General features: G+C 45.1%; 1 annotated feature.

Moving 5' to 3' along the window:
- Positions 22,167-22,216: a silencer, noted in NCBI's record as "silent region_19788". NCBI's record gives its function as "represses an Ori minimal core promoter by ATAC-STARR-seq in GM12878 lymphoblastoid cells {active_cell/tissue: GM12878}" and the evidence as "EXISTENCE:reporter gene assay evidence [ECO:0000049][PMID:35858748]".

Raw genomic sequence — 25,752 nt, forward strand, 5'->3', positions numbered from 1 at the left:
TTTTGATTCTTTTGAACTTAGGAGCATGTTATTACACGTATAAAATAAAAAATCAATAGCCACTCAGTTATCTAGAGTAAAAGTGGCTGGTTCACATATCAGCATATAGATATACAATTACTTTCACGTGACTGACTTTATATTTATGTATTTTAACAGATCCTATGGTAGTGTTTTCATCATTAGAATATTTTATTAGTCACCTGTTTTTCTACAATCTCCACTAAAAAGGAAGAATTTATTTCTACCCAACCGTTTACTTGTCAGTTTGTGGTTTATTCAAAATCACATTTGCAGAAAACACTCTGAATGAAAAACCACCCTGGAACTTAAGGACACAGGCCTCTGTTGGGGGTGATTTCCTTCTTCTTCTTCTTCTCAACATTGGTTAACATTTTTCTTCTAGATTAAAGGTGAAATTGATGGGAATTAGACTGTCTGCAAGCTGGAAAAGCAATCACTTAAATAATGACATTCAAATAGATCATTCAGTATCATGTAAATGTCAAGCGTGAGGTCATTTTTCAAAACAACACCTTTGTTCAACTGCGTCAAATGCATAGACACACGGTGACCAGCCTTGGTGGACAGAGCCCCTCCTTCTTTCTTGCTGTTGGTCCCTTGAGCAGCAGCACCCCTCATTCAGACATACTCTGCTCTGTGGTGTGTGTCCGTGTGAGAGTGAGCAAGAGAGAGAGAGAGAGAGATGTGGGGGGCAGACAGACAGAGATGGCAGGGGTGGAGTCAGCCCAAGAAAAAGTGCCTTCACCTCTTCTTCCTCTCAAAATGATACCATTAATTTCTTCAGTTTGAGAAAATCAAACTTTTGTTATGATTAAGAAAAAACAAAAAGTGAGCCTCAAACACAAAGCAACTTCCATTCCTGCTCTCAGAATTTGGTCTTTAGGTCTTTAAGCACCCTCTTCTCTTTTCCTCTTTCCACCAGAATCACGCTGTCTGGTTTCCTACCTTATGAAATATTATCGATCAGCTTGAAATGAAAGTGGGCTGCAAATTAATGTCTGCAACATTGTCTCCCATCAGATGGTTGGGGCTGGAAAGCCACAGCTTTTAGGATGTTAAATATTTATAGTTATCATTTCAACCAAAATATGAACTTGCACAAAGAAGAATATGATGCAGATTGCTTTGAAAAAGTTTGCCTCATTTTCATGTCATTGGAGAAACTTCAGAAAAATAGGGCCCGTATGGATGTACACCTTGAATGTAAGCTTTAAAATACTCCCAGAAGAAAATTGCAGCTAATGACGGAAAAGAACCAGCCCGTCTCCCAGAGGAGTGTTTGCCACATCCCTGAGAAATGAGTGGCTCATTTAGATTATCCAATTTTCCACTCTTAAATCTGGTGGACTTCAGCAGGCTCTCAACCCTACTCCCCAATCATGGGGGAAAAAATTGTTCATCAAATATTATTCTAAAAATCATTGGTATGGATAATTATTACAGACAGCAATTGCTTTAGTTTTGTTATCATTATTGCTGGCATTTTAAATGCCTGAAGGCTAAATATCTGAGATTCATTGTTAACTATATATCTCTGAGCAACGACAGACTTGTGGCAGCTTGAAGATATTTTTGAACAAGGAATAATAGTACAGTAGAGATTGAAACTGAATCTCCTTTAGAATTCATGATCACAAGGAAGTGGTATTGAATTTACCTCCCAAGTCTTGGAAAAGAGCACAAGATAACATTCTGTTTTCTTAGGAATCAAAATCAAATTCACAATGTAGTTTATCTAAAAGTGAGCAGGTGACTTTAGGATCTCTGCTAAGGGACAACATATCAAGGATGTCCCTGAGACTTCACCTGGGTTCCAGGAGGAGCGGCACCATAAATACTCACTCTACCAAGATAAGATGGTTTCTGCCAGAAAGCACCTTCAAAACCTCTGAGTCCAAGGTTAAATAATTACTTATTTCCACAATTTAATCTTAAAAAAAAAAGGATTTATGTTAGCTAAGATACAAATGTTATCATGAAATTAAATAACTCTTATATAAGTTTCAAAATAAGGGAAAATAAGATCAAGGAAGCAAGATGGAGTAAAGACGTAGTTTTAGTCCCTAAATGTCTGCCATTAGGAATTCAAGGTTGGACTACAGGTGGGTCATAAAGTTGGCTCTGAGCTTCCTAGCAGTCACTATAAAGAGAGAAACATGAAAGGTCATGAGATGTAGAGTTTGTAAAGTAAAAATAAGCCAGTTGTTCAGAGAAGCAACATAGCCATTCCTGATGCCAAGACAATAAAATAGCTCTCCTGAGCATCCCTGGGAATAATAAATGCCATCTTCTGCAGCATCTTTGATCAGGGCAATGAGTTTCATAGTCTGTGTCTTATGAGATGATGAGACCAAGTTTTTGGTCAAGAACACACATGTGACTGGGCTTCCTAAGAAACTTTCAAATTCTATTTGTATGTTTGGGTAGTTGAATCAGACCTAGTCCTTCTGAGCATATTAGCCCATACACATTTACTCTTCCACAAAGCACACGTGCAGTTGAACAGATAGAACTTGACTGAGTTCTCCAATGACAACACTTTGAATGTCAGGAATTTCTGTAGTATGGACACACACTGCCTTTCAAAGTATATCCTCTGCAGGAAAGGGCGTGAAGCCCTCACCAAGAAGGCCATGTTTTTTGTGGAGACCCCGGTACCCCATTATTAATGGTTACCTTAATAAGGTAACATTGCCTGACTCTTATTATGATAAAATTATTTTGTCATCAGCCGTACCTCTAAGGTATTTTCCTTTTCCCGTCATGAAATGAAAGGGCTTTTCTAAGAATAAATGTGATCATTGAAATGCACCTATTATTTGTCTGCCAGCACTTTCCTTCCCTCTTGGATATCAGGCTACCCCTTTGGGGAAGTTGTTCCTTTTTCTTTGTCCAATCATCCATTTGTGGTTGGGGTCTAAAATTATAGCACTCTAGTCTCTTGCTACAGTTGAGTGGTCTAGGGGTCACATATGATCCAAAGTGGGCCAATCAGATTTCTTTCTAGGGCTTTTCAAACTGGAGCTAGAGAAAGCATTTCAGGCCCTCCTTGGTGGTGAAGTTGTTCTATACAGTCCTGGGAGCCGTCAACAGCTGCATTCCCAGCTGGGTGAAGGCAGCCAGTCTGCAGAGGAGGAGGTGAAGTCAACACAGAGGGAGGCAGAGACAAAGGACACAAAAGTAGACCTGGCAGCATCATGTCCCCAGGTTTCAAGGTGTCTCTTAGACCTTTTATAATCCTCCTATTGCCAATTGAAGTTGAGCTTCTGTCACTTGCAAAGAGAAGACTTTTTGCAAAGGGAAGACTTGTAAATGCTTCTACCGTTTCTCAAAACTCTTTCACCAAAAGATCCCCAGGTTTGTGTAAACTCAAATAAGCAGACTAACCTGAGGCTCCCAGGAATATTTCATATACATTCCCCAAGGGGGCCTGCTTGGTTAGGTGATAGTCTGTGTTCACACAGCTTATTCTCAAGGAGTGCACAAATAATTAAATGAAGATCAGGGGCAGATTACAGGCTTGTGAACATCAGCTTGGGCCCCACACTCTCCCACTGCCAGCCCCGGACTGTCTAGCACAGCTTTACTGTGTCACACAACAGAATCACAGGGCTCCCTGACCTTGGAATATTTCTAGCAAGTGCTTAATCAGGGCTGTTTGGCAGCCCATATGATTTAGAGACAGTTATATCTGAACCAGCCGTCAAACTAATGTTTTCATAGTCATTGTAAATTGGGACAGTCTCCCCTTAAGAATGGTATCTCTCCAACTTTGAGCTACAAAGTAAAAAAACGGGAGACCAGATTTTTGTGTTACACAATATGAGTTGTTTTGAATATGGAAATTCATGCTTCAGGAACCTAAACTGGAATCCTAGCAAACACATTTTAACTTGTGTAAATAGGGGTTAGTAACTATGAGCTGGATTTTTTTTTTAAGAGGCAAGATCTCACTGTTGCCCAATCTAGTCTTGAACTCCTGGCCTCAAGCAATCCTCCTGCCTCAGCCTCTCAAAGTGCTAGAATTACAGGCATGAGTCACCATGCCTAGTTAGGGAAAGCAGGATTTTTGTCAAAATCTACTACATTTAATTGATTCTAAAATGCTGTATAGAATGTGATTGACAGTGGATGGGGTATTGTAACTGGCAGGATTTTTTCCATCTCAGTGATACACAAAATGATAAAATATCCTATAAGCAATGGCATGTTTTCTTTGATTGCATTAAACAAGAAAGGCATATTTTAGTTATTGTGGTTTTTTCAAGGATGTATCACAGTTACTTCCTTTGCTGTCACCAAAACTTTGTGTTGTAGGACTACTTTGGGGAGGCTCAGGTGTGGGCCTAAAGTGCCCCAGCAGTTATTGGCGGAGCCCAGCTTAGAACTTGGTGTTCTAGAATTCCATACAGCATTCTGCACTTTGTATCAGACTCCCAGCAGTTCCAGATCAGAGGCACACACAACCAGAGCTCCCCATCCAACCCCAAACATATTTGCTTTCACCATTTCCAGGCATTCCCAATAAAATTGGTGTTAAGGGAAGAGAGAGAAGGAATAATTGACAAAATAAAGGAACCATTCTCTGTACCCCAGAAATACTGCATATTTGGTAACAGTGTGGGGCATGTATACATCCCCATCAGGTTCAAACCTCACTGTCCTCTTTCAGAGTCCTTTGTTGAACCCCAGGACAAGAAGTGAGATCGGTAAGTCTCAGCCTATGGTGCACATAGCTACTTGCTCCACTCTCTTTCTTATTGATTCTGTATGCTTCATGCAGAACAGTCCAGAAAGCCACTACCAATCCCACACAGCCCGTGAGATGAAATATTTTTGCATGAAACACTTCAGCATAGTCTGATCCCTCAACCCTTTATAATCTGGATGCAACCTCCACTTCCCACTTCATTGCCTGCCATTTCCTTATCCCATGCCATAGTCAAATGGAACTACCGACTGTCTCCAGGTATATGCCTCATTTTCAGTCACCCTGTCCAAAAAACTCCTCCTCTTTGGCATGTTCACTTGTGCATTCACAGCCCCACTAAACACACATTTTCTCCATCAGAAGTAAGCTGTTTGGGCTCTAAACTCCCATAGCATTCTCTCTGTTGTATTTATTTCGCATCAGATGTGAATTTGTCCCACAATACTAGGCTGCAAATAACATTCTGCTTCAATCTTCTTTCCCCCAAACAAAACTCTACTAATGACCACTAAGGGATGCATCTCTGGACAGACAGGCCTTGGAAGAGGTGGCACTGGTACGACGGTTTGGGGCAAGGAGTCCGGCAGCCAGCACGACAAGCCTCAAATTCCACCTTGGCTACTTACCACCCATAAGACCCTGAGCAAGGGATCTGACTTATTTCTTACTGATGGTATTTTAAGTGGCAGGATCATCATCTCAATATCATCATCTATAAAAAAGGGAATGATAATGGGACCTGTGTGAGAGATTCACTAAAATAATCTACAAAAGGGACTTAGCACAGTGCCAGGCATGTGGTAAAGTTCCACAGATGACATTTATTATTAGTATTATTGTACTTTCCTTTAGCTCTATGTTCAGTCCTATGAGACTGTTAGGACTTAAATTATACCAAGGAAATAAGAAGTGGTCCATTTCCTTCATCTTTGGTGGTGGTCATCGTGGTCCCTCTACTGTAGGGTGCCACAGGGGAGCGGGAGCCCTCTGCCACGGGCTGGGCTCTGCTACAGGGGGCATATTCCAGAAGTGCATCCCACAGGACTCAGTGTAGCCACAGCCCACTCCCCACCCTGAGCTCCTGGAGCACAGGAGCCTAATCCACAACCCAGAAACACAGGGGTTGCCCTTTTAGAAGTCTTACCACCTGGCCCAGGAAGGAAAGCAAGGGAGGAGGGCAGAGTTTCTGACCCTTAGACCATCAATCCTACTTCCTCCCCTCTTGCCACCTCCCACACTCCCTGCCCAAGCCCTAGCCATGCTTTCCCCTCCTGGGCAAGCCCCACTTAAGTCCTTGATGGTCCTACGTGGGGATCACACCCTAGTTAAAAGACTTAGGGGTTGATGGGAGAAATTAGGTTCTCATCCTTTTGAGCCTCCTACAATAGCAAACATGAATATCTTGTTCGGTTATGCCGACGCATGGGTGTGCCAGCTGGGATTAGTGTGCTTCTCTCTGCTACTAGATGGTAAGCTCCCTGTGGGCCATATCAGTGTCAGATTCACCCAGCTCTGCCTCTGTCTTGTGCACAGAGTCCTTATTCTGAGAATCTGCAGGAGAAAATATCTGGGGGTACTAGACATTCTATTTCCCCTTTCCCTGTGGCCTCTCCCCATCCCAAGCCACAGGGGACAAAATGCTGCCATTGCTTGCTCCCAGTGACTAGAGGCAAACTGGTTCCCTGTTCCTCCAGACCAATCTTAAATCCAAGGAACATCGCCTGCCATCAGTCCCCCGCCCCTTCCTCACCTCAACTTAATGAACAAATAAGGAAAGAAAATTAAAGCAAAAAAAATTAAACAGCTTCAGCTAAGATCAATAGAATTCTATAAAGCTCTGGGCTATGGTATTGAGTGAGCGCAGAGTAATCCCCTGCATATTGCATGTTAAGTTAACTTGTGAGAGAAATATGCTCTTTCTCAGCCTCGCACCTTCTCCTCCATGGTGAAGGAGGAAGCAGGGAACACAAATTAAAATAATGTTGATTTAGTTTTTAAAGGGAGTACCCAGGAGCATTTTCTGCATGGCCAACTGAAAACTCCAGCCCAGGCTGCAGAACGCCTCTCTCTGCACAATACAAAGAGAATATTTGATCCCCAGAGCTCAGCCTGCTGGTGGATTTTTATTTTGGTTTTGGTTTTTGTTTCTTTTATGCCTTCCTCTGGATCTCAAACTTTTAAATGCCGACTGGAAAATTCCTTTTTCAGCAAAAGGTCCTTGCTCCACTCCAGTGTGACTGTAGGGAATCATTAGTCCTAACACATAGCAGTGTGTGATCAGGGCACACCGCGCCAGGGAAGCAGGTGGGGAAGAACAGGCATGATGTGGGTCCCTGTGTCTTGTCATTGGCTTGGCTTCTCCTAGGTGAGGGAGAACTCAGGGAACCAGGTCATCGGGTTTGCTCCTGGCAATTTAGCCACCTCTTCAGGTCCTGCAGACACTCGCCTAAATTCCAACCAGGGAGCAAGCATCAGAAACCATTCATGCCCACTCGATCAGTCCTTCTGAAAGACAGGCAGCCAAGAGGCAGCCGAGCCTGGTGCCAGGCAACCAGAGCTTGAAGCAGGGGTGGTGGATTCAAGCAGACCTGTGGCCAAATTCCAGCTCCACCATTTACAAGCTGCACAACTTTAACCAAGTTAGTTAACGTTTTAAGTCCCATTTTTAAAACAGCAATCATAATACCTCTCTTGCAGAACAGCACTGGGGATTAAATGAGATGTATCATGTGAAAAAAAATACCTGGCCTAGAGTAAATGCTCAGTAAATGTTGGCTTCCTTCTAAAGGGTTGACCCTGTGCACCTGGAAATGGGCAATGGCACAGGGACTACACACCGAATTCTGAATTCATTTCCAAGTCTCCAGCACTGAACACATTAAACAAGAAAAGCTGAGTGATGAATTAATGAATGGCCAGAACCATAGAGCTAATCCTTCATTGCTATCTTGCAAATAGTTTTCTCACATTATAAAATGAATTCATGCTTGATGTAGAGTTCTTAAGAAGTATAGATAATCAAAGAGAAGGAAATACAAATCATCCAGAATCTTGGCAACAAGAAACAGCTGCCATTATGGTTTCGGTATATAGCCTTCTGGGTATTTGTCATCATGTCTACAGAGATATAAATATTTGTTAAAGCAAAATGGAACCATTCTGAAACACTTTTTACATCACCTGTTTTGCTTATTTAACAATGGACCAGGAACATCTCTCCATGCCATTCAATTTCCTTCTATATGAGTTTTTAAGTGCTGAAAATATGACATTGATTCAATATACAGTAATTTATGTAAAAGAACTCCTTCTTGGATATACAGGCTATTTTCAATGTGTTCCTTTTATGACTGACTCTATAGACAACTATCTATAGATGAACACTTTAGACTTCTATCTTTGCAAATGGGTCTGAATACACCCTAAAAACAAACCTCTACAAATGGAATTGCTTGGTCCAAGACTCTGGAAAAATTTAAGGCCCACCAGAAAGGGAGATGAAAATAATGACATTGTGCAAACAAACCTCACACACAATGCTCACAGGTACCCGACCACCCTTCCAGAATAAACAGAGCCCTAGTCCCAGCCCAGGCAGGATGTTCAGAACTAGGGATGACCTTAGGAGCGGCCAGGACTGGCCACCCCACTAGGGAAGGGGATGTAGTGAATAACAGGGCCAGAATTAGGCCAGGTGCCCTCACCTATGGCTATTTGACCCCAGGCAAGAATTTTAATGACAGTGAGGCTCTGAGAACTCTGTAAAAATAAGGATAATGGTATTTTTCCATCTGCTTTGAGGCAGTGGGGGAGTTGTAAGGAGCTAATGAAAGGATATCTGTGAAAATGCTTTTCAAACAGCAAATGAAATTGGGGAGGAGCTGCTCTGGGGGCAGCTCAGGGAAACTGAGCAGTTTTCCCAAACCTCCAGAGACAATCTTCTCAGTGTGTGGCTTTGGGCTTTTGTTTGAAATGATGTGAATTCCCAGAACATCAGACACACCCACGGTCAAATGTAAGTAAAAAACACACCCAAGCCAAGGGTGCTGGGAATCCTGGCCCCTCTCGATTCAGGGTTATTCACGCTGGGTCTGCCCGCCTTCCTTCCTTGCTTCTTTCCTCCCTTCCTTCCACCCATGCAATCAACTGCCCTGCAGAATGTAAATTACAAACATCTCCCAAAGCAACTACCTGGAACCCTCACCCATTCCACTCAATGGCTTCTGATGGAGAGAGGAGAGAAAAAAGGAAACACACACAGGAATCCTTGCTAATTTATTCAAGTATTTTAGGACACTGGAGATATTTCCTGATAGCAAACAACTTTGCTCTTGGAGACCTTCAACAAAGATGGTTCAGGCTGCAGTTTCCTTCCTGCAGCCTAAACTTCAGTCTGGCACAGTGTTTGCTACCATAGCTCCTCCAGGGCAGATTCTTGTGGTAGGGATGGTGGGAAGTGGGTCAGAAGTACCCAAGATCAACCAGTACAACTGTTCTCTCCTGGTCTGTCAGAGCAATAAGGCTCTGGAGTTTAATGTGCTTGGCTCTTCAGGAGTGTCCAGGGGAAAGGATACAGTCATGGCTTCTTAATTTCTGTTTCTGATTGGGCCAGTAAAGTCCCTTCCTCATCCCTCTTTTCTGCTTATCACTAGAGACAGAAACTAAAAACCATGGCTTCAGGCTACTAAAAAGCCTAAAACAAAACAGAACCACCACCACCACCAAATAAGGCAGGTTGGACAAGCTTGCAAAGAATCCTAATTTGCCAACCCAGAGGTGGTTTCAGCTGCAGTGAGGACACAGGGGAGCTCTGATTGAGAAAATGCACTCATCCGCAAGAACACTTCCTGTATGTGGGGACAGGGAGAAGCTGTTGGGGGTGCAAAGCTGTGAGAGGCAGCGTCCACCCCAAGGAGTGTTTAAGAGTTTGTACCTTGTGGTCAGAAAAGGCTGGGCCTGAACTCCAGCTTTGCCACTGCTGTATGCTGCACCTTGGATAAGATCATTAACTTTGTTAAGCCTACATAAAATGGGAATAGAGCAATTTACCTCTAAGAGCTTGATATGGTTTGGCTCTGTGTCCCCACCAAAATCTCATCTTGTAGCTACCATAACTCCCATCTGTTGTGGGAGGGAGATAATCGAATCATGGGGGCAAGTCTTTCCTGTGCTGGTCTCATGATAGTGTATATGTCTCCTGAGATTTGATGGTTTTAAAAATAGGAGTTTCCCTGCACACACTCTCTCTCTCTCTCTCTCTCTCTCTCTCTCTCTCTCTCTCTCTCTCATCTGCCAGCACGTGAGACGTGCCTTTCAGCTTCCACCATGATTTGAGGCCTCCCTAGCCATGTGAAACTATAAGTGCATTAAACCTCTTTCTTTTGTAAATTGCCCAGTCTCGCATGTCTTTATCATCAGTGTGAAAACAGACTAATACAGAGCTGTTGTGAAGATAAAATGAGATGATGTCAATATAAATGAATATATTGCTGTGACAGACATTATTCTCAACCATAAGCTTTCAGCCCACTCACCTTGCACCCCAACTCCTCCAGCAGTGCTATCTTGGCTGAGCTCAGAGCATTATCAGTCACTTTTTAGACATTAGAAAAGTTTGATTCTCAGAAATCAATAAAGTTCAGATTCTCCTAACACTAAAACTTCAATTTCTCATCCAATTCAAAGGCTCTCTCTTTCCCCAGCTCAGGCCTACACCAGGCTCAGTAACCTGCAGTTGGGAAGCGGGGGGCTTTTCCTTACTCTCAGTCCCTCCTCCACTTCCTCTGGCCTCTCCAGGACTGCAGCAGAAGGAAGGAGGAAAGGTAAAGGGTGGTCTTAGACAGTTCAGACTGCTATAACAAAACACCATAAACTGGTGTCTTATAAACAACAGAGAATTTATTTCTCACAGTCCTGGAGGCGGGGAAGTCCAAGATCAAGTCACTGGCAGATTTGGTGTGTGGTAAGGGCCTCTTCCTGGTTCACAGAGAGCTATATTCTCACCGTAACCTCACATGGCAGAAGTGGTAAGGGAGCTCCCAAGGCCTCTTTAAAAAGCGCACTAATCTCATTTATAAAGGTTCTGCCCTCATGACTTAATTATCCCTCAAAGGCCCCATCTCCTAATACCATAGCACTAGGCATTAGGTTTCAACATATGAATTTAGGGGACACAAATATTTAGTTTATAGCAAGGACTAAAATGGTCAATTGACTTAGCTGCACTGTGAAGATCTGCATGAGGCCCTGTGTGTGGCAGATGGCCAAACCCTGACTGTCACCCACAGGCACTTCAGTGCCTTCCTCTACCTCCATGGAAGCACCTCCTCCCCAATCCCACCTCTACCCATGTGGCTGAGATTGCCCTTGGAAAGGCCGTCCTCTTGGGCATAGCCCTATCACGAGGCCTCTACTCTTAAGACTGCCCATCCATAGCGTCCACTTAGCTAGTGGGAAACTCAGCATCCTCACCCCTCCAATCCTGACAGTGTGTGACATGCCCACCTCAGCCTTTCTCCTCATTCTGCTAACCTTCTCCTTTGGACTTTTGCAGTTTCAGTACCTCCATGTGCCAGAGGATGCGGATTAATTTTGCCCAGAATTCTCTCACCATGTCTACTCCCACAGCAGCTATGGAAGTGTCTAGGTGTTTCTTCAGTTCCACGATCATTCAGCTAGAGGGTGAGGTGGAGTGATGAGTGAAATATCAGTCCCCTTCGGGCTAATCACCCCAAACTTGAGTTTTTCTGCTAGGAAATGTATCTCCCTCCACCAGGTAGCCCATTGTTTTCAAAGAGATGTTTACTCACTCTGACAGTACTGAGGATGACAGTGCTGACACTTATAGGCCCTCACTATGAGCTAAATACTGCTCTAAGAATTCTAGATGTAGAACTGCCTGGTCCATATATAATAACGCATTTAATCCTCACAGCATCCCTATGAGGTAGATGCTATAGTCACCCCACTTCATAGGTAAGTAAATGAAAGTACAGAGCTAAGTAATTTAGCCAAGATCTTGCAGCTAGTAGTAGCAGAGAGGAAACTTGAACTCAGACTCTCTGGGCTTTAGCTTTTGGACCCTAATCACAAATTCCTATTTCCTCTCCGTCTTTCTCTTAAGTAGAAGTGAAGAATGGACTAAAGCATCTGAAAATATGTTAGTCATTTTTTGGCATGTGCTGCAAATGTGTCTAGTACCCATCTTCAGAATGCAGGAGTATTTGTCGCTCTGTTCTCAGCTTTCAGTCAACCAAAATTCCATAGACAATAGTCAAAGTTCCATTTAATATACTGTTACATATATAAATCTCTTAGAACTTTGTCAACCATTCATCAACAATAAATGGAAGCTTCAAAGCTAGGGAGCTCATGGCCTGAAAGGGAGAAAAATAGCCAGGAAATAGAGCATCATAATACAGTATAGACGCTGTAGTATATAATTTTGTGTTATGAATTCCACAAATATTTATTAGAAACCTATTATGGGCTGTTAGGGGCTGAGGATATAATGATCAAATTGGATGAGGTTCCCATCCTGTGGAAAGTCCCTGCAATTGAAAGGAAAAATATTCTCTAGAAAGAAGGAATTTCGGTTATCTATTACTACATAAACTAACTCAAATTTAGAGGCTTAAGATGACAACCACCATTTATTGGCTCATAATTCTACAACTTGGACAAGGCTCAGAGGGGCCCTCCTAGGGTCTCTTAGGTGGCTGCAATCCCCTGAGAACTCAGCCAAGGAATATCCATGAAGGCATCACTGACATGTGTGGCAACTGGTGCCAGCTGAGAGCTGGTGTGCGTAGATTTTCCTCCAAGTGGCTTCCTTTCCTCCACTAGTCTCCATTGGCCTCTTTATCAAATGGCAGCTGGTTTCCAAGAAGGAGGTCCCACTGTGCAAGTACTTATCAAGTCTCTACATTCTAATGTCTCACTGGCCAAGCAAGTCCCATGGCTGAGCCCAGAGTCCATATGGGAGGGGATCACACCAAGAGAATCCTGGTCCACTGGGGATCACTGATGGACAGTCTACCACAAGAAGCTTCACAGGATGTCTGACCCACTGGCTGCCTCTCCCAGGGCCCTGGGTCAGCTATGTTCCTAGCATCCACCCTCCCTCCAAAAGCTCCACCCCAGCAGGTGGTTCTGGGAGGCAGGGCTCAAGTCAGAAGGGCAAGGGATAGGACTTGCTTTGTTCAAGTCAGAAATTTACATTCTGTGTCATCACCTATGTGGCATCAATTTCAAGAGGCACCAAGCAGGTTCCCCATCTCAAAAAATAACCCCACTCTCTGCCACCTCACCATTATTTCATTCTTTGCAGGGGGAACATTTATGTTTGACTTCAGTAGAGACATCCTTAGTTAATATGGATTACAGCCCCACTGTAAGTGATCTTGTTTGTAATATACAATTATAGCAGAGTGTGCACAAAGTCTTGCTGGCCCAGAGGAGACCTTGAGGGCGGTTCACCAGAAGTTAGTCAAATGGTTCAGAGCAAAGTCTCAGGGAATGGGAACGCATCCTCTCTGTGGGTTAGTAAGAACATTCTGGCTGCTGTGAAGGGAAATCCTCAGTAGAGTGCAAAAGAGCTAGCAGAACCCCAGGAGTGCTGCCTTGGACCTGGGGTGGTCACGTACTTTTAATTCAAAATTTCTCTTCAGCCTTTTGTCAACTATTTCTTTCTTTCCGCAAAGGGGCTTAGCTTTTGGAACTCAACAGCTAGGAAGAAGTTCCCCTTTTCTCTGTTTCTCCTATCACATTGTTTCCCCAAGACCATGAATACAGAATGATTAGCCTAATTGAAGGGGACAAAGAGCCAAAGAAATTATAATGATTAGGGGGCGGGGCTCTGTGGACATTTCCAAAAATTCTTATCCCATCACATAAGAATGCATAACCTAATCAAACAGTGAAACTTCTATTAGTCTCATCCCACTGAGTGGGTTCCACCACCATTAACAAGCCCTCGTATTGTCTTCGTAAATTTGAGAAACTTTCCAGGTATTTTTATAGACAGAGTGGGCTGAGCGGGAGCTACCTGACCCTGGTAGTCAAGATGCTGGCATCCAGAATGGGAAAATGAGGTAAGTAACTCCCCTTACAAACAGACTTGCTCCACTGGCAACTGCAGCTTTTGCAGAATGATAGGAAATGACATGGTCACAATTGTATTTGGGTAAGATTCATCTGGCAGCAACATACAGGCTGATTTAGAGGTGGGAGATCTAATAATAATAATTCCCGGGAATTGTAATAGCATCGCGGGGGACCCTGTACTAGGCACTGGATGTGGTCACTCCCACCTCATCCTCACATAACTGTGAGCTAGGGTGGTATTTTCTATGTCGCGCAGATAATAAAATTAAAGTCAAAGATATCCAGACACTTGTCCAAGGGCTAAACTGCAAATAAGAAGCAGAGTCAAGATGACATTCAGATCCAGCTGGCTTTGAAGCCCCTGCTTGTATCTGTTCAGAAGCTATGACAATTGCAGGGCCAAGACATGATCAAGGCCAGAACTAAGGTGCGGAAGCAAATACAGTAAAGAAAACAGCAGACAGAAAGCTGTGTGTCAGGGGAGGACTTGAGAGGACCCAGTGCAGACCCGAAGCTGCAGCAGACTGAGAGAGACATTCTCAGTCCTTCCTGCCTGTGCCTGCAGCAGGCATTGAACTGGATTGGCTTTTGAGCCCTACAAGGAACAATGATGGAAGGCTTTATTGCTGTGTTTTGCTTCAGAAAACTGGTAATTCTTACACATTTCATAAGCCAGGAGCAGAGTAATTATCCACTTATTTAAAGCCATCTCCTCATTTGTGTATTTATTCATTCAGGAAGCTGGTGGGGTGGGGCCGGGGAGGGTGGCAGAAACAGGAAACAAAATCCTGGAAACATCATTAATTATTATTTCCTAGAGATAGCAGTGCCGTGCTATTACCTGCTCATCACTCAAGGCCAGGCCCAACTCGTCCACCTTTTTTGGCTTCTGCTGCTTAGCATAGAGCCCTACACACAGTAGACATTCAACAGGTGCTTCGAGATAATGAGGCTGACGGTGTCACCCAGGAGACATCCCACTGCTGGGGTCCAGGCCCTGTCCCAAGTCTGGCTTGTGGGTCCTTAAGCAAGTCACTTAAAGTCTTGATGCCTCTGTGTATTCATTTGAAGGACAGGAATAATGATGGGACTTATCTCTCTGGGTTGTTAGTAAGATCAATGAGTTATGATAATGGAAGACTTAAAGCAGTGCATTCCAAAAAGATTAGCTGATATTAGTAGCCGTAGTATTGAATGCTTGGGTCCCATTAGGATCTGCTACCTTGTCTCAGCCACAGGCCCCCAGGGCTGGTGACGGGGATGCCTGGGTTATTAGATACAGGGCATTCATTGCCAAGCAGAAGCCTGAGCCCATTGTTCTGAGTAATTATGCTCAAAGTTCTCGGAACCTGCTTGTTTCTGTCCTTTTAGTATCGCCTCCTGTGCTACCGCTTGGCTCTGCGCCTAGACCGAGTCTGTGTTGGTTTCTGGAGTCTGCCACTTGCGGAAATGTCTATTTTAGCAGGGTGTCTCCTCTTGGCCTGGGAGGCCCTTGCTGAGCCCTGCTTTGTCCCCCTCAGGCATGTGGAGAAGCTGCTTTGGCTAACCCCTCCTGCCTACCAGGCCACAGATGCCTCAGGAAAGTACTGACTCTCCAGGCAGGAAGAAAGGAAACAGTTTTGTAGCTCTGACATTTTGGGGAAGGGGGTTCCTGGAAGCACCCTCACTTGCATCCCCAGTGGTCCCCTTCCCCTGAAGCTTCTAATGCAAACTTCATCTTTCTTCCCCAAGTTGACACACTTTTCTAACTTCCTGGACTCAACAGGGGATGAGCTTTCTTCGAAGCCCCTCTCCCCTACTGGTTTTCCCATCTCCCTCCCCACCTGACTCTGTGGGGAAGAAGAACTTTTGGTTTCTTGGTCTGACTGCTGGCCCATCAGCTTTCCTCCATGCCTCTCCTTTTGAATTTTCTGCCAAAAACTGACTTGACCTCCCACTTTTGAGAAAGCCATAGTCACATGGTACAAGAAGTTTTATCCTCCAGCCTCTTGACCTCTGCCTACCAAATCCCTCCTGCCTGTCCTCCACTGGCCACCCTCACAGCTTTCCCCACAGTGCAGACGCTTCCTTCCTTCCTTCCTTCCTAACGTAACCGCCCAGTGGTTCACCTTGTCCACAGCCTAGACAGAGCCGATTTAGCAAGACAGGGCAATGGCAATAGAGAAAGAGTAATTCTCACAGAGCTGGCTGTACAGGAGACTGGAGTTTTATTATTACTCAGTCTTGAAGAAAACTCTGGGATTGGGGGTTTTAAGGACAATTTGGTGGGTGGGGGCCAGTGAGTCCAGAGTGTTGATTGGGTCCGAGATGAAATCACAGGGAGTCAAAGCTGTCCTCTTGCACTTGAGCCAGTTCCTGGGTAGGGGCCATATGACTAGATGAGCCAGTTTATCCATCTGGGCGGTGCCAGCTGGTCCACCAAGTGCACGGTCTGCTAAACATCTTAGGCGCTGGTATCAGGTTTTATAATAATGATGTTATTCCCCAAGAGCAATTTGGGGAGGGTCAGAATCTTGTAGCCTCCAGCTGCATGACTCCCAAACCATAATTTCTAATCTTGCGGCCAATTTGTTAGTCCTGCAAAGGCAGACTAGTCCCTAGGCAGGAACGTTTGTTTTGGGAAAGGGCTGTTATGGCCTTTGTTTCAAAGTTAAACTATACAATAAGTTTCTCCCAAAGTTAGTTGGATTACAACGCCCAGGAATGAACAAGGGCAGCTTGGAGGTTCAAAGCAAGATGGAGTTGATTAGGTCAGATCTCTTTCATTGTCATCATTTTCTTAGTTATAATTTTGCAAGAGTGATTTCACTAGCTCTTGAGAGAATTTTCTCCTGGGCTCTTCTTGGCCCACTGTCAGTCTTCCCTCTCTCCTGCTCCTCTGTTCACTTCCATTTGAAGCAAACGTGCAGCATTCACACCCGGTTTGAAGAGTTTCGCCTTGACCCCATTGACCTATTTGGCCTGCATCCTATCACATTATTTCCTTTTCAGTTCCAAGCCTTTGGATCTAGAAGTGGGTATCTCTTGCCTCTCCCTCCTTCTCTCCCATTCTCTCCCTAAACGCTTCTCTCCAATTGCTTTTTCACCTCATGGATCTATTGAAGATGCTCTCCCAAAGGTCTTCAGAAAAGCATGAGCCTCCAAACCAAATGACCATTTCTTAATCCTTAACCTTCCAGACCTTTCAGAAGCAGGTGCCCCCAGTGAACACATGCTCCTCCCACAAACCTCTCCTCTCTGGGCTTGCCTGGTGTCCCCCTTCCCCAGCCCTCTGACCTCACCAACTGCCAACTGCTTTCTGTCTAAGTTCTTCTTGAGCTTATTCCAAGGCCAGGATCCTTTTCTTCAGGGATCACAAGTCAAAACTCAATGATCTTCTCTAGGCCAGTGACTCTCCAATCTGGAGCTGCTTCCAGCACATTTCTACTTTGCATCTGATAACCAGATCAAACCAACAAGTTTCAAACTCAATGACTTGGCACCAGCCCAGTTGGCTTTCTCTCCTAACATCTGCATTTCTCTCAGGGGTCCATGGTTTTTTAGTAACTTCAACTTGCAATGCAGATTCACCAATGTCCCATGCCCCCTCTTTGATTTCCAGGTCCTCAAGATTTATAGACTCATCTAAGGATTTCTTTCCCTTTCCCTCTATCCTCACAGCCACCCATCTAAGGCTTCCATATTTATTCCTGTAGGATAACAAACTGACTTCTTTTCTCTCTAGACTGTCTCCAAATGTGCCCCATTTAGATACAAATTCTGCCTTTGGTAACTATGGGATTATTTCAAGCATTTAGGTCTCATCTCCTCAAGATTATAAACACTCGGAGGACAGGGACAGAATGACCTTCCTTCAGCCATCCCAGCACAGTGTCATGTCCACCATAGACACACAAGTACTTTGGAAATACCCACATAATGAATTGGCATTAGCTGGGGCCTGAGACATGTCCTCTATAGTGATTGTTTCCTGGACAGTGATCATGACTGGTCTGCCCCATCCACGCCAATCACTCTCTCCTTATCCCTGGCAGCAATGGTTCTACCCCTTCCAGTCAACTTCCCAACTCTGACCACTACCCAATGACCTTTGCTTAGTCTCTGTACTCCCCAATTTCTCTTAGCACCAATGTCGGGTGGGTGGTACAGACCTTGGTGGGCTTGAGGGAGTGTGCACTACTTAGCACTACTATCTTGCCACTTGGTCTAAACATCTTTCAGTGTAGTCTGTGGTCCTTTATTTAGATGCAGAATTTTTTTTTTTTTTTTTTTTTTTTTTTTTTGAGACAGAGTTTCACTCTTTTTGTCCAGGCTGGAGTGCAATGGCACAATCTCGGCTCACCACAATCTCCGCCTCCTGGGTTCAAGCAATTCTCCTGCCTCAGCCTCCCAAGGAGCTGGGATTACAGACATGCACCACCACGCCTGGCTAATTTTGTATTTTTAGCAGAGACGGGGTTTCTCCATGTTGGTCAGGATGGTCTTGAACTCCCGACCTGAGGTGATCCGTCCACCTTGGCCTCCCAAAGTGCTGGGATTACAAGTGTGAGCCACTGCACTTAGCGGAGATGCAGAAACTTTCTAAAGGCAGGGACTACACTGATTTTGCCAGCCCTGAATGGCGAGGTGTATGTGTTAAGCCTGGTGAGCATCTGCAGGGCCCACAAGCCAACACTGGTGCTGAGTATTCCCTAGGCAATCCGAAGTTCTCTACGCAAAATACCAATATTTTACATTTTTCTGAATGTGTCTTTTTTTAAATAGGAAAAAAAAATCACTTTCATAAGAAAAAAGTCAAAGTTGGAAAGTTCTTAGTTTTGCTACCATTAGCTAAAAAAAGACTGATTAAAGACAAATGCGCCCATGAGTCAACTGGGAGGTGATTAAGCAGTCAAGCTCCATGCCCTTAGGGGGGTCATTACCTTGAAGAATGCAGCAGCCTCTGCAACTCCTATAATGGTATATACTGACTGCATCTGTTTTCGAAATCCTTTCCCTTAAGGACCAGGCACACTCCCTCAAGCCCACCAAGCTCTGCACCACCCACCCAACACTGGTGATCAAGGCTATCACCTCTGGGCTACACAGAAAGCCTGACATCAGGATCCTACTTGACCCCACAGTGGTAGACAATGAGACCAAATCTGACGGGACCAAACATTCACAGAGGGTGAAAACACAGGTGTTAGTAGCTTCAAAGGAGGCTACAGACTACAGACAAAGAGCCCAGCAGGTGCCACCCATGGTAGATGATTGAGAGGACCCCGATGCCTCACAAGCAACAGGCAGTGTGGCTGGATGGGACTCCTGCTCTGACAGCAGGGTTGGCGACCGAGGGACTTTAGGGAAATTATTTGTCCATGAGTCTCGGTTTCCTCATCTAAAAAATATTTACCTTGCAGGGCTGTTATAAGGATGAGATCATGTCAAACAGGATTTGAGTGCTTACTTTGTGCCAGGCACAATTCCAAGTATTTACATCCATTAAGTCATTTAGTCCTCTCAACAAACCTCTGAGACAAGTATTCTTATTATCCCCATTTTACACTGGAAGAAACTGAGAAGCAAACTGGTAACTTGCCCAAGGTCACCCAGCTAGTAGCTGGTAACTGACCCATAAAGCCATAATCAGAGTGAAGCCACCACTCCAAAAGTTTTGAGTCAAAAGAGGAGCCCAGTTTGGAGGGAATGACAGCAGCTGGATATCTGTGAGGGGCCCACAGTCTACAAAGAGTGCACAGTCCGGCAAAGACCAGCCCTTGAACAGTCAACAAATGTGGCTGCTTTTTCCTTCCTCCTAATATGTGTGTGTCTGCTTATGTGTGTGTGGGCGTGTGTGAGCATGTGCATTTATGTGGGCATGTTTGTGTGTGAGTGTGATTCTGAGTGTGTTTGCAAGTGTGTGTTCACGTGTGCATGTGTGAGAGTGTGTGTGTAATGGGAATGGTGGGGCTCAGGGATGGGGTGACACCGTCTGATCATCTTTGGTTTCTCCATATCTCCTGCCCTATGCGCCTCTGCTGTCAGATGCACACGGGTGACCAGAGCCTTAAGAAAAAGTGTGCTTGATCCCTGACTCCGCATCTCACTGCCACCCCATTTCTTTGCCACCTAACTAGCTCCATGTTATCTGTTTTATGCTTTGGCAGCTCCGGTTATGTAAAAAATCACCTGTGGATGCAGATTCTTCACAAAATCTGCTGTAAGGATCATTTTGACCAACCAGACTTTTAAGAAGTATTGGGAAGCAAATAGTTTGAGGCAATAGATTCTGGTAAAGACCTAACTTTAGTAATAAAGTAGACATTTCTACCCACCCAGTAAACACTTTGGAAGTGCTTATTACGTGCTAAGATTCAAAGCTGTCAGGGCTGTCCCAGCTCTCCAGTGGCTCACAACCCAGGGGGAGGACTGACAGGAAAGAGCCACAGGGAGGCAGAGATAAAATCAGTGCTGGGGACACCAATGGAGGGATGCAGAAGCTCACTCCACCAAAGCAGCCCTGAAATTGCTAACACCTGGTGCGAGCACCTGCTTCTCCAGCCGCCCTGCTAGAAATAATCCCACAGCGACCTCACTTACCTGAGCCTTCCAGAAGTTCTCCACTTGAGCTTTCACAGGATTGACCAAATTTGTTACTTTGAATCCCTAATGCCAATGCAGAGAGTGAAAAGCCTGACATCCAACCTTTTACTTATGTGTTCCCCCATCAGTGTGCTGGAATCTGTATCGGATTTGTTACTCTAGACACACAGAGCATGAGACGCAGTAGTAAATGGTCACTGAGGTTTCCTTCTGTTTAAGGCAACTGTGAGGGCTGAGGGACCAGGACCATCTTTCTCCCCTGGGATCAGTTTGAAAATGATGAGCTGAGGAGTCAAAGTTCCCTTCAGGCTGGAGAAGCTGGGAATGGGTGGGGTAGGGAGTCTTTTGTACTTTATTTCCTCCTGCTTTTTTTGTTTTTTTGACACAGTATCTCACTCTATTCCCCAGGCTGGAGTGCAGCTCCACAATCACAGCTCATGGCAGCCTCAATCTCCCAGGCTCAAGCGATCCTACCACCTCGGCCTCCCAAGTAGCTGGGACTACAGGCACGCACCACCACACCTGGCTAATATCTCCTCTTGCCTTTTTAATACCCCACCAAAGGTCTGTTTCCTATACCAGCACACTCAGTCATCAGGCACCAACTTTGCAGACTGCTGAGTGAGTCTTTGATTTGCAGATTTAGGAGGTTGAAAATTTGGGTCCTTCTCAGGATAGATCAAAATTGAATTCCCTCTGGACACAGGGCTGAGCCCAGCACGGACGAATTTTCTTCAACAAGTGGTGCTGAGAGTGGCAGGTTAGGTGGAAGACAGAGAGGAAATATCCTAGAACTCCTGCCTGAAGGTGTCCCCTACCCCCACCCCCTCACCGCCTCCACCCTATAACCAACAACACTTCATTTCCAACAAAATATGAACCGAGAAAGAGTGTTGGACACATACAGTAATGAAAATCCATGATTCAACTGTGCATTCATAATTATTTCATAAATAAATGGCTTCTGGAGAGGCGCATCTGTCTCTCGCCACCACGTGCGTGCCTTTCATTAATGTATCCCGGCCTACGTGGAGCTAGCCCGAGAGCTCCACTCAAGTCCTCCTCCTCCTCTCCATCACTGTCCACCAGGAGGTTTTTGTGGTTCAGAAAGAGCTGCAAGCCCCACACTTCTCTGCAAGATTGATGGCTCGTCAATAACATTAGCCAGCATTACGGGCCGCATCGGGCTAAGCAGAATCAATACGGCCAAGTAAAAAGTCTAATAAGTTGACATGGCCATCCTCGGCAGGGCTCACATTACAAGAAATGAGTTTTCTTAAGGAATCAGCATCAGGGCTGCTTAGATGCCCGCACCCAGATGTCCTGACTAAGATTTACAGTCTTTAGTTCAGTTGGTTGGAATGGGACCAGCTGCGAAAAGTAAAATGGTGACTGGGGTTAACTACAAAGTAAAGAGGGCACCTGGGGCACTCTGCTGATAGTGAGGGGCGTGCTTGGGGATCCCTTCCTGTGATATGTGACAGTCTTCCCCATGAGCCGGCCACTCTTCACTGCTGACCACACCTCTCCCATCTCCAGGAGTAAGCCCCTGGTGAATAATGGGTGGTAGCTCCTTCTCCAGGGAGGCTGCTTAGCACCCTGGATGGCCACGGTCCCCTCAGAGGCTTCATGGAGGGCCCCTCCTCACCTCCTGTCACCCAGAGTCACCATAGCTGGAGCAGTCGGCAGGATGCAGCAGAGAGTTCACTTTTACTAACTCAGCTGCTCAGCTCTTCTCATACATCCAGCTGTCTGAGGGAAGCCCTGTGCAGTCATGCGAGGTGAAAGCATTAGCAAGAGCCTTTGCATAGGCTCAGCCACTTTGGAGCTAATGCACCAGAGCCAGGTTCCTCCACATATTTCCATCTTCCTTTTCAAGGAGAAGCCCAAGGGAATAAAGCCTTCAAGAGAATCCAAGCAGTCACTGGAGAGCGCTCACATAGTTCATCTTACCTCTCATAAGCTCAGACAAGTCTTTCGACCCCAAGTTCACAAGCATAGATCAAGGGCCCAATGAACAATGTGGATGATTCAAAGTAGTAAGAGATGGCCTCTGTCCTCATATTGCTGGTGGAGGAAGGGGAGGCCACAGGCAAGTGCAAAAAACGCCATTATATCAAGCAGGCTGTTGATAGGGTCCTTCAGTCATTCAGATACACAAGTATATTGATGCCCTACTGTGTGCCTGGCATTTTGAAGTGCTGGAGTATGGCAGTGACTAAAACAGACCAAGCCGCTGCACTCAGGGAGCTTATACTCTTGTGAGGGTAGGTAGCAAACAATGAACAATTAAGCAAGTGGCATATTGTTTCAGAAAAACTCTATGAAGGAAAATAGAGCAGGTGAGGGAGATGGAAGAGGAGTTGCTGCTTTGAATAGGGATGGTCGTCAAAGGCCTCAGTGAGGGGGCAAATATGAGCAAAAACGTGGACCTAAGCAGAGGAGACAAAGTACAATGTCTTGTGGCAGGCAGACATTTCACTGGTGTGTTCAAGGAAGAGCCAGAGGCCAACGTGACTGGGCCCAGAGCAGGAGAGAAAGGCAGAGACAGCACTGGGAGACAGCCAGGGCCCATAGCCTTGAGAACCTTGCAAGCCAGAAGGAGGGTAGATTTCATTCTGCATATGGCAGGAGGCCTTCAGAGGGGTTCTGAGTCGGGGAATGACATGCACATGCTTTTGTTTTATCGGAGCCCTCTGGCTGCTCTATGGAGAATAGGACAGGAGAATGTAGGTGGGGACGAGGGGCTAAGAGATATGGATTCAGCAGAAGAGAGAATGCTAAGAAGTAGTAGGGTCCTGGGTGCATTTGGAGGTACAGCCAAAAAATTTTTTTCTAGAGTGGATGAGGATGTGAAGGAGATAAGTCAAGGATGAGGCCAATGTTTTTCACCTGAGCAAGTGTATGAATGCTGGCTCCTTTTCCTCAGATGGGGAAAGGGTTGGGCAGGTGAAACCCGGAGATCATTTAGGACACATTGTGCTTGAGACGCCTATTAGTATCCAAGCAAAGACTAGAGGAGGGGGTTAACTATTCAAGCCTAAAGTTCAGGGAGAGTTGTAGGCTGAGGAGATAAGTTAGGAAGACATCTGCATATTGATCTCATGGTGTTTAACGTCATGTTCTTGGATGAGATTGCATAGGGAGCGAGTGTGGAAAGAGCAGAGAAAAAATCAGGACTCTGCTTTTCAACCCACCAGCATTTAGAGGATGGAAAGATATGGAGGACCCAGCAGAGAAGACAGAGGGCGGTCAATGAGGTGGTGAGAGTTTGAACAAATCTCAGCGAGATCACTCAGGAGGGTAATTCATTCTACCTGGAGGTGGCAGGAGTTGAATATAAACCCTGAAGGACAAGACAACTGTAACAGCTGGATGGGGGTGGGAGGAGCGAAGGTTACCCAGGGAAAGTGAGAATGGGGGAGTCAGGGCAGAAAGAACAGCAGGAAGAGAGAGTGTGGGGGAAATGGCTGGGTCTGTCTAAGAAATGTCAGGATGTCCAGATAGGCTGACACAGGGAGTGCATGGGGGGCAGAGCAGGGGTCAAGAGAACAGCCATGAATAGTAGTTGGAGCCAGATCCTGAGAGAACGTGAATGACTGGATGTGATGGGGAGATGACGGCAAGTTGCATCCAAACCATTCATCAGCCATCACAGAACACAGAAACCACAGCATCCCCCAGTCTACTTAACAGATACCATGAGATCTCTGAACTAAGGTGCCCTCTACCCTGTGGCAAATAACATCCACCATCCCCATCCTTGCCATTTAACTAGGACCAAGGGAGATGTTTATGTGATTCCATTACATCTAAGCTCTTGAAAACATAAGAAAAAGTTAAATTGCCAACTGTATAGAACAATTCTAGTTTCTCTATTTGCACGTGTCCCTTCAACAAAACTGACCTAAAGCCTCTTTTAAAAATCTGATGCATTTGCCTGATTTATTCGATAAAACAAGGATGAACATATTGTTTTTCCTTTCCTTCAAATATCTACATTGATTTTGTTGTACATTCATCTTGTGTTGTATTTTGAAGACCCAATGATTGTCAGTTCTGCAATAGCTTTGGCCCAAAGTAATAATGTTCTGATGCTTGAAAAGACCTTGTTGCTTCCTGTGGGGAAAACGAAGGCTTATGGAACAATGTCCCTGGGGACTTAAAAATCCATCAGGGATCAGGAGAGAGCACACATAAAATAAGGTGGTACATGCACCACAGGCAGTAAATGCTCTAGAAAGAAGAGCCTCGAGGAGGGAGAGGTCACCAGAGCAGAGTGGCTGGGAAAGCAAAGCAAGAAAACCCAGAGGACCAGCACTGGAGAGGAGGCATGACGGCGGTGCTGAGTGCTGGACCAGTCAGGAGGCCAGGTGAGTGCTTTACAGAGAGTATTTTTTTTTAACCCTAGAACAACTCCATGAGGTAAATATTATTTACCTTCATTTTAGAAAAAAGTAAAAATAGGCCGGGCACGGTGGCTCACAGTTGTAATCCCAGCACTCTGGGAGGCCAAGGTGGGTGGATCACTTGAGGTCAGGAGTTTGAGATCAGCCTGGCCAACATGGTGAAAACCCATCTCTACTAAAAATACAAAAAATTAACTGGGCGTGGTAGTGTGCACTTGTAATCCCAGCTACTCAGGAGGCTGAGGAAGGAGAATCACTTGCACCCGGGAGGTGGAGGATGCAGTGAGCCAGATTGCACCACTGCACTCCAGCCTGGGCAACAGAGCGAGACTCTGTCTCAAAAAAGAAGAGAAGAAAAAAGCAAAACAGGCTCAGGAAAGTTAAGTTCTTGCCAGTCGAAGTTTAACTGTATGAGGGAGAGGCAGGCACCCACTGCTCCCCAAATCTTAATCATTTACTCCCCTAGCTTATCCTAGAGAAGAACTGGCTGGAGCAAGCTGACGCAGGAATGAGAAGGAAGGGACAAATAACTTGAAAGGACCATCAAGGTTGGAGGCCTTGGGCCCTGTAGGCACCAGGTTAAGCTTTGACACAGAATGTGGCCGCTTTTCCATTACAAAGAGTGGCACAGTCTAAGAATAAACCCCAGGCAGAACTTCAGCAGACCAAACATATGCTGACCCCCACAAAACAGGGCCATCAATGACCCATACAGGACCTTCATACTGAAATTAACACATCTACCTATAGGAGAAACACAACACTGCCCTCTCCTCAAGTCTATTTCCATCAGAAAGTGTTCAGACAACTTTCTTTTAGAATGAGATATTTTATTGTCAGGGGCCAGAAAATTGTGGTAATCAATATATACCTCCATTATGCCTATAGTGTGAATGACACCTCTTAGATAAGACACCC

The sequence above is a fragment of the Homo sapiens genome, chromosome 9 (genome assembly GCF_000001405.40).
Source record: "Homo sapiens chromosome 9, GRCh38.p14 Primary Assembly".
In the NCBI taxonomy this organism is placed as follows: Eukaryota; Metazoa; Chordata; class Mammalia; order Primates; family Hominidae; genus Homo; species Homo sapiens.